General features: G+C 47.9%; 1 pseudogene; it reads left to right on the top strand.

Annotated features, from left to right (window-relative positions):
• Positions 5,635 to 6,342, top strand: PPIAP55 (peptidylprolyl isomerase A pseudogene 55; annotated as a pseudogene).

Consider the following 10,404-nt stretch of genomic DNA (forward strand, 5'->3'; position numbering starts at 1 on the left):
GCTCATGCCTGTAATCCCAGCACTTTGGGAGGCTGAGGTGGGCAGATCACAAGGTCAGGAGATTGAGACCATCTGGCTAACACGGTGAAAACCATCTCTACTAAAAACACGAAAAATTAGCCTGGCATGGTGGCGGGCACCTGTACTCCCAGCTACTTGGGAGGCTGAGTCAGGAGAATGGCATGAACCCAGGAGGCAGAGCTTGCAGTGAGCCAAGATCGCGCCACTGCACTCCAGCCTGGGCGACAGAGCGAGACTCCGTCTCAAAAAATGTATAATAATAATAACAATAATACAAAAATTAGCCAGGCATGGTGGCAGGCACCTGTAATTCCAGCTACTCCAGAGGCTGAGGCAGGGAAAATTGCTTGAACCTGGGAGGCAGAGGTTGCAGTGAGTTGAGATCGTGCCACTTCACTCCAGCCTGGGCGACACAGTGAGACTCCATCTCAAAAAACAAAACAAAACCAAAAGAAAAGACACGAAAAAACCAGCATTCAGGGGAGTAGATGAGGAGCATGGGGGTGGGAAGAGAAGGATGAAGCTGGAGGCAAGGGTGATGGCTGGTGGGTTTATGGGTGCTCGCTTCGTATTATGCTCCATAACTTACATATATATTTTATTAGATATCATGTTTATGTATATATGCTACATAATAAGAAGGCAAGGCCGGGTTTGGTGGCTCACACCTGTAATCCCAGCACTTTGGGAGGCCAAGGTGGGTGGATTACTAGAGATCAGGAGTTCAAGACCAGCCTGGCCAACATGGGGAGACCCCCGTCTTGGAGGTGAGAATGGTTTGTTTAGACTCTAGACTAGCACTGTCTAGTGGACCGTTCGGTTATGATGTGTATTAGTCTGTTTTCTCACTGCTATGAAGAACCACCTTAGACAGGGTAATTTATAAAAAGAGGTTTAGACTGGGTGTGGTGGCTCACGCCTGTAATCCCAGCACTTTGGGAGGCCGAGGAGGGCGCATCACCTGAGATGCCAATACAAAAATTAGCCGGGCGTGGTGGTGCACGCCTGTAGTCCCAGCTACTCCGGAGGGTGAGGCACGAGAATCGCCTGAACCCAGGAGGCGGAGGTTGCAGCGAGACGAGATTGCGCCACTGCACTCCAGGCTGGGCGACAGAGCAAGACTCCATCTCAAAATAATAATAATAATAATAAGGCATTTTAAAAAATGAAAGCCTGTCTCCAACGCCCTAACAACCAAGGTTTCTACTGCAGCGACAGTGTGACCACTGCACTAACTCCTACAGGGCTCTCAAAGGCCCAGGCACTGCAACGGGTGCCGGTGCCTGGCCTGAAAATCCCAGTCCCAGAGATCTGCGGGGGTCCTCCATGCTTCCCCGGGGGCCTTGCTTCCCACCGACCACCCTTAGAACAAACAGCCCATCTGTGCACCCTTCTCCCTCCTCTCCCTGACCCCCTCGCCTGGTGTACTCTTCCACGAAGCAGCATCATCCCGGATTCACATTTATTTGTTGTCTGTTGCCACCCAGATGCGTGTGCAGAATATGGCTCTATGGGAGCTGGACCCTGGCTGGGTCATGGCCCAAGCCCCGACGTGCACATGCCTGGCGGCAAGGGGGCTCAGGAAATACTGCAGAGTTAACAGAAGCAGCCGGGGGCCTGTGATGTGGATGGAGAGAACTGGGGCTATCAACCTGAGCTGCTCTCTTGACAGCTGAAAGCATAGGCTATGTTGCTGTTTTTACCCTGGGTAGACACGCCTCTGGTAAATGTATGATTTGTTAGATATTTTGAGGTCTGGAAAACAGTCATCAGACCCTCATAAGCACCTTCAAGGACTCTGATATGGTTTGGCCATGGCCCCATTCAAATCTCATCTTGAATTGTAGTTCCCATAAGCCCCACGTATCATGGGAGGGACCCAGTGGGAGGTAATTGAATCATGGGGGCAGGTTTTTACCATGCTGTTCTCATGATAGTAAGTCTCAAGAGATCTGATGGTTTTTTTTTTTTTTTTAGATGGAGTCTTGCTCTGTCGCCCAGGCTGGAGTGCAGTGGCGCCATCTCGGCTGACTGCAAGCTCTGCCTCCTTGGTTTATGCCATTCTCCTCAGCCTCAGCCTCCTGAGTAGCTGGGATTACAGGTGCCTGCCACCACATCTGGCTAATTCTTTGTATTTTTAGTAGAGACGGTTTCACCATGTTATTCAGGATGGTCTTGATCTCCTGACCTCATGATCCACCCATCTCAGCCTCCCAAAGTGCTGGGATTACAGGCGTCAGCCACCGCGCCTGGCCCAATCTGATGGTTTTATAAAGGGCAGTTCCCCTGCATACACTCTCTTGCCTGCTGCCATGTAAGACATGCCTTTGCTCGTCCCTCACCTTCCACCATGATTGTGAGGCCTCCCCAGCCATGTGGAACTGTGAGCTCATTAAACCTTTTTTTCTTTATGAATTACCCAGTCTCAGGTATTTCCTCATAGCAGTATGAAAACGGACTAATACAGACCCCTAGGGGTCCAGGATCCCAGCTGGAGGTAACCATTCCTAGGTGAGCCTTAAAGTACTTTGCAAAGTTAGGATTCCGCATTTCCACGGCAGGGTGACCTCCTGGGGTCTAGGGCTCTTCATCACCCTCATTGGCATCATCACCGTCATAATCCAGACCCCAGACAGATGTGTCTGAAGGCAGTTGGGTGTGAGCCAGGAGCCCAGCGGGGACTGGGCTGGAGGTGTGAATAGAGAAACTGCCTTCAGCTTCAGCCTCAAAACCTACCACAGGATCTTAACCCCAGGTCTGCACTGAGCAGCCAGCACTAGTGGCTACTTAACGTCTGAAATACGGCCAGTGTGACTTAGGAACTAAATTTTAATTTTACTTAACTTTTATTTTGAGACAAGGTCTCATTCTGTCACCCAGGCTGGGTGCAGTGGTGCAATCTCAGCTCACTGCAACCTATGACTCCCAGGCTCAAATAATTCTCCCATCTCAGTCTCCCGAGTAGCTGGAACTACAGACACCCACCATCACACCCAGCTAATTTTAGTATTTTTTTGATAGAGACAGGTTTCACCATGTTGGCCAGGCTGGTCTCGAACTCCCGACCTCAAGTGATCTGCCAGCCTTGATCTCCCAAAGTGCTGGGATTACAGGTGTGAGCCACTGCGCCTGGTCTTAATTTTAATTAATATAAAATTTTAAAATGGAAGCAGTGTAAATGTTTTTATATTAAACACAACTTTATTGCTATAGTAAGACTACATTTCACTCTGTTGAAAATTGAGCCTCTGAATTGAGATGTGTAAAATACACACCAGATTTTAAGACTTGGCACATACAAGAAGGTAAAATATCTCATTAATAATTTTTGAGCTGTGTGTGGGGTGGCTGCACCCTTGTAGTCCCAGTTACGCAGGAGGCTGAGGTGGGAGGATCACTGGAGCCCAGAAGTTGGAAGCTACAATGAGCTGTGATCACACCACTGCACTCCAGCATGGGCGACAGGGAAAGACCCCATCTCTTAAAAAAGGGGGTGGAGGGGTTAAAGAAATAATAATTTTGATATTGATTACATGTTAAAAATGGTACTATTTTGGATATATTGGGTTAAATAAAATATATTAAAATGAATATTACACCTTTTTCACTTTTTCTAATATGGCTACTAGAAAATATAAAATTATATATGCAGCTCTCATTATATTTATGTTAGACAGACATTTCCATCATGATATGGCTTGGCTTTGTGTCCCCACTCAAATCTCATCTCAAATTGTAATCCCCACGTGTAGAGGGAGGGATCTGGTGGGAAGTAATTGAATCATGGGGGCGGACTTCCCCTTGCTGTTCTTGTGATAGTGAGGGAGTTCTCACGAGATCCAATGGTTGTTTTTTTGTTTGTTTGTTTTCTGTTTTTTGTTTTTTTTTTTTTTTGAGACAGAGTTTCACTCGTTTCCCAGGCTGGAGTGCAATGGCACAATCTCGGCTCACTGCAACCTCCGCCTCCCGGGTTCAAGTGATTTTCCTGCCTCAGTCTCCCGAATAGCTAGGGTTACAGGTGCGCCACCACACCCGGCTAATTTTTTGTATTTTTAGTAGAGACAGGGTTTCACCATGTTGGCCAGGCTGGTCTCGAACTCCTGACCTCAGGTGATCTGCCCTCCTTGGCCTCCCAAAGTGCTGGGATTACAGGTGTGAGCCATCGCACCAGGTCTAAACCTCTTTTCTTTATAAATTACCCTGTCTAAGATGGTTCTTCGTAGCAGTGAGAAAACAGACTAATACACATCGTAACCGAAAGGTCCACTAGACAGCGCTGGTCTAGAGTCTAAACAAACCATTCTCACCTCCAAGCAACCCGGTTCCTCCCACATCCACTTTTGATTTAAGCTCCCTGCCTGGGGGCCCTAACCCTCTGATTCTCTGAAGCTAAGCCCTGCCTTCCTCCATGTGAAGCTGTCTTGCCTGTCCTTTCCTGCTGGTAGGAACCATCTTCCTCCCTTAATATCCACTATTTATACCAGACTTCAGCACTTAGGCTTGGAGAACTAATTTCCTCTTCAGCTCAATTTTTACATTAAAGGCAGTTAATACCCTTCTCTCTTAATTGAGCGCCTTGCATATAAGGAATGGTAACTGATGATTCTAACAGTATTAATAGCACCTTTTTTTCTGTGGTGCTTTACAGCTCAAAAAGGATCTGTCATCTCCCCACAACCTTAAGAGGGAAGACAGGTAGAGATTTTCATAGCCATTGTACACATGAGGAAACTGAGGCTCTTTGAGGTTATTTTGCACAGATCATAAGGCTTGTTAATGTGGCCCCCATTTTTCCACTGTAGGCCAGTGCTGTTTCCCCTCCATGTGCTTTTGGTGCCCACGTGAAAATGCAGACAGTTAAAACTGAATATAGAGCTGGGCGCGGTGGCTCACGCCTGTAATCCCAGCACTTTGGGAGGCCGAGGCGGGCGGATCACGAGGTCAGGAGATCAAGACCATCCCGGCTAACACGATGAAACCCCATCTCTACTAAAAATACAAAAAATTAGCCGGGCGTAGTGGCGGGCGCCTGTAGTCCCAGCTACTCGGGAGGCTGAGGCAGGAGAATGGCGTGAACCCGGGAGGCGGAGCTTGCAGTGAGCCGAGATCACACCACTGCACTCCAGCCTGGGCGACAGAGCCAGACTCTGTCTCAAAAAAAAAAACAAAAAAACTGAATATAGAAAGAAAAGACTAGCATGGTTGGGGAAACTAGGGCTGCTTCGTGTTAGAGGCAAGACTTGAACTGAACTTTGAGGAATGGGCAAGCTTTGGCCAAACAAAGAGGAGTATGCGGACTTTTGGGGACAGAACCACAGCTTCTGTGAAAACCAATCCATAAACAGAATTCTTGATTAACAAAGAATGATGGAATTAAACATTTGGACTTTTTTTTTAAAACAACAGTTTTATCAAGATATAGTTCATATACCATAAAATCCCCCCTTTTAAAGTATACAACTGAGTGGCTTTTAGAATATTCAGAGTTGTACAACCATCACTACTAATGTCAGAACATTTCACTACCCCTAAAAGAAACCCCATACCACAGATTCCGATGCCGCCGGGAGCCCTGCCATGCCATGTCACATATATTATAGTATATCTATGCCCAGCCATGGTCAACCCACCGTGTTCTTTGACATCACCATCAACAGCAAGCCCTTGGGCCACGTCTCCTTCAAGCTGTTTGCAGACAAGTTTCCAAAGACGGCAGAAAACTTTCCTGCTCTGAGCACTGGAGAGAAAGGGTTTGGTTATAAGAGTTCCTGCTTTCACAGAATTATTCCAGGGTTTATGTGTCAGGGTGGTGACTTCACACACCATAATGGCACTGGTGTCAAGTCCATCTATGGGGAGAAATTTGATGATGAGAACTTCATTCTGAAGCATACAGGTCCTGGCATCTTTTCCATGGCAAATGCTGGACCCAACACAAATGGTTCCCAGTTTTGCAACTGCACTGCCAAGACTGCGTGGTTGGATGGCATGCATGTGGTCCTTGGCAAAGTGAAAGAAGGCATGAATATTGCGGAGGCTATGGAGCGCTTTGGGTCCAGGAATGGCAAGACCAGCAAGAAGATCACCATTGCCGACTGTGGACAACTCTACTAAGTTTGACTTGTGTTTTATCTTAACCACCAGATCATTCCTTTTGTAGCTCAGGAGAGCACCCTCCACCTCATTTGCTCACAGTAGCCTCTAATCTTTGTGCTATCTCTCAGTTCCCTTTGGGTTCCATGTTTGCCTTATTCTCCTCCATGCCTAGCTGGATTTCAGAGTTAAGTTTATGATTATGAGATAAAAACTAAATAACAATTGCAAAAAAATAAAATAAAAAGAAAGAAGAGGCTGGGAGCGGTGGCTCACTCCTCTAATCCCAGCACTTTGGGAGGCCGAGGTGGGCCTACCAAAGGTCAGGAGATCGAGACCACCCTGGCTAACACGGTGAAATCCCATGTCTACTAAAAATACAAAAAAAATTAGCCAGGCGTCGTGGCGTGCACCTGCGGTCCCAGCTACTCGGAAGGCTGAGGCAGAGGAATGGCGTGAACCCAGGAGGTGGAGCTTGCAGTGAGCCGAGATCGCACCACTGCACTCCAGCCTGGGCAACAGAGCAAGACTCTATCTCAAAAAAAAAAAAAAAAAAAAAAAAGACGGAAAAGGCATTATATATTTGTGAAGACATGGACAGAAATGTGTCCTGATTGTGGTGCCACAAAGCACTGAGCCTACTAGAAGACGTCAGCAAAAGATCCCCTGAAAAGTGACTCCAAGCCATTCACTGCAAGGGATGGTTACACAGATGCAGAATACAGAAGGTCAATAGTAGCTTAATGCTACATCACAGCTTAACACTACATCATCCACCTCACTTCATCTCACCCCATCGTATCGTGTCACTGTGCTCACCATCACAAGAACAGGGAGGATAGCACAGGAAGATATTCTGACAGAGAAAGAGAGAGACCACATTTACATAACTTTTATTACAGTATATTGTTATAATTGTTCTATTTTATTATTAGTTATTGCTAATCTCTTACTGCACCTAATTTATAAATTAAACCTTGTTATTGGTATGTATGTATAGGAAAAAATATAGTGTATATAGGGCTTGGTACTTTCTTCAATTTCAGGCATCCATTGAGAGTCTTGGAATGTACCCACTGAGGATAAGGGGGGGCTGCTGTACATACTTTGCAAATATCTTCTCTCATCCCATGGGTTGTCTTTTCATTTTCTTTCTTTTTTTTTTTGAGACGGAGTTTTGCTCTTGTTGCCCAGGCTGGAGTGCAGTGGCACAATCTCGGCTCACCACAATCTCTGCCTCCCGGGTTCAAGCGATTCTCCTGCCTCAGCCTCCCGAGTAGCTGGGATTACAGGCATGAACCACCACGCCTGGCTAATTTTTGTATTTTTAGTAGAGATGGGGTTTCTCCATATTGGCCAGCCTGGTCTCGAACTCCCGACCTCAGGCGATCTACCCACCTCGGCCTCCCAAAGTGCTGGGATTACAGGTGTGAGCCACTGTGCCTGGCCGTCTTTTCATTTTCTTGATGGTGTCATTGAAGCACAAAAGTTTTAAATTTTGATGAAGACCAATTTATCTGTTTTTTCTTTCATCACTTATGCTTTTGGTGTCATATCTAAGAAACCATTGACTAATCCAAGGTCACAAAGATTTATTGCCTATGTTTTCTTCTAAAAGTTTTATGATTTTAGTTCTTACATCAAGGTCTATTTTAAGTCTTTTGTTTTGTTTTTTGTTTTTTGTTTTGAGACAGGGTCTTACTCTGTCACCCAGGCTGGAGTGCAGAGGCACAATCATGGCTCACTGCAGCCTCAACCTCTTGGCCTCAAGCAATCCTCCCACTTCAGCCTCCCAAGTAGCTGGTATTATAGACATGCGCAACCATGCCCAGCTAATTTTTTTGTAGAGATAGGGTTTCACCATATTGCCCAGACTGGTCTCAAACTCCTAAGCTCCAGTGATCCGCCCACCTCAGCTTCCCAAAGTTCTGGGATTATAGGCATGAGCCACTGCACCCAGCCCCAAATTTTGTATATGGTATTAGAAAGGGGTCCAACTTCATTCTTTTACATGTGGAAATCCAATTGCCCCAGCACCATTTGTTAAAAATATTTTCTTTCCCATTTAATTGTCCTAGTGTTCTTGTCAAAAACAATTGAACATAATTGTATGGGTTCATTTCTGGACTCTCAATTCTATTCCATTGTTGAGCATATTTTTAAGGGCTGTTTTTCTCTCCTGTGGTAACTGGTGACCTGTACTTCCTGGAAGAGAGATGAAAAGATTCCCAAGCCAACTGAGTTACCTCACGTGGGTCAGGTCTCTGTGGCTCTCTGCACTGGCCTATTCATAATGATATCCTCCTGCAGGATTTGAGCCTTCTCCTTTGTTGTGACGGCAGCCGAGGAGGTGGCTGACTGCCCAGACAGCCTTATCTCTTTCCTACCTTTCAAGGTTATTGTAAATACCAAATTAGATTGTTTATACACAAGAATTTAGCACTAAAGCACTATACAAATGTAAGCTATTTATTTCTATTTATCCTTCTCCTTCATGAATAAGACCCTAAAAATAGAAGATATTTTTAATTTTTACTCACTGGGCTCAAGGTTGCAGTGTCTGTATTATTGCAAATTCCAAATTAATGAAGTCTGGCTCTTCTTATATTATTCCTGCAAAAGGCTGTGTGCTCACCCCCCGGAGTGTGAATACGAGTGTGGGTCATTTCCTCTTTCCTCTGCACCCTTCCTTCGATGAGGTTTTGCCCTGTGCTAGGCACCATGCTAAACTCTGAGAAAACCACAGAGAACAAGGCAGACGCCATCCCTGCCCTCCAGTAACATACAATTTAGTGATGAAGCTGGGGGATTTAACAAGCCATTCTAATAAAGCGTTACAGTGAGGGAGGTGCAGGGTGATGCCTCCAGCAGCCCTGGTGTCAGCTGCTCCAGGTCCAGGGGAAGACTTCCATTATCTTCCAACCCTGTCGGAAGTGGAGGCGGAGGCTGTTTATTGCTGACACAGTCCCTAACCCAGGGTCTATAGACATTGTGGAAATGCCTTGGAGTCAGACGGGAGAATGAACCAGCAGAAGCAATGCCCGCCCTCCACCCTCCTGAAGAGGGTTCTCAGGAACTCTTTGGAGGCGAGGCCAGCCTCTGGCTGAGGGCCTCTGGATACAGGTTAGGCCTCAGGCTCTTCTCCTCTCTACTCATCTCTCCTCCCTTGGCCCCTCCTTCAGAGGCTGACAGAGCCCCACTCTCATCTCTTCCCCACCCAAGCCTCTTTCCACAGAAAGACTGCTTCCTCCCAGGAGACAGCAGCTCATTTGCACACAGACACCCACAGCCCTCAAAGCCTGGAAGGCCAAGCTGTTAGGACCCCTGAGAGCAGGGTGGCTCCTGGGAGGAGAGCCCAGGCCACCACCTTGCCCTCCCTGGCCCCTGGCCTTCGATGGGGCTGCTCTGATCACAAACGTCCACCAACGTAGCCGGCCCAGAAGTGCACCCATGTCCTCTGGTATCCACTGGCTCTCCAAGCCAAACTGGGCAGGGAGGAGTTGTGAGGGAAAACTGCAGGTCAGGAGGGAGGCTGGCAAAGCGGGCCAGGGCCAGGCCTGACCCCAGCTCTCCTCTCCCGGCCCCACTGCCGGCCAGTGTTTAACAAGGCCCTGCCTTCTCCCTCTAGTGCTAGGGACAGCCACCTTCTTCCTCTCCCCACCGCCCCCTCTCCCCTGCAACACGTCATCTGACAAGTCAGTGCGATCTCACTGGAGGTGCATCTCACAGGAACGCGGGGTCACAGCCTCCTGCACACACTCCATGCTGCACAGCAAGGTGCACGTGTCCCTCAGAGCCCCAGACACCATCCCCCACTCACCCAGAAGCCCAAGTGATTCCCAACAGCCCCCAGCAGCCTAATGGGTTGGGGTCTTGGGAGCAGCTGTCCCTGGCTCCTTCCCTGATCCCACCGCCCAGCCTCACCCCACGGTTCCTCCATTGCCCCACCTCCCACTGCGCCGCCGGGCCTCTGCCAGGGTCAAGGGGCTTCCCCCCTCTGGCAGCAGACGCCATGGTGCCGAGGTGGCCTCCACAACCGCCCTGTGCGCCAATAGGACAAGACTGTCCTCCCTCCCCCACACTTGTCACTTTGAGGGACACGTGGATGAGACAGGAAAACACAGGGGAGTGTGGAGACCTGAGGTGACTTGGAGCAAGCCTCTCAACCTGAGCGGCAATTTCTTCATCTGTAAAATGAGGGGGTTGTTCTCATCTCTGAGGCTTTGTGTCGCTCTCAAAGCCTGCTAGCCTCGGGTTCTAGGACTCTGTTGGGATCGTGTGTGATGTTTT

The sequence above is a fragment of the Homo sapiens genome, chromosome 17, assembly GCF_000001405.40.
Source record: "Homo sapiens chromosome 17, GRCh38.p14 Primary Assembly".
Classification (NCBI taxonomy): domain Eukaryota; kingdom Metazoa; phylum Chordata; class Mammalia; order Primates; family Hominidae; genus Homo; species Homo sapiens.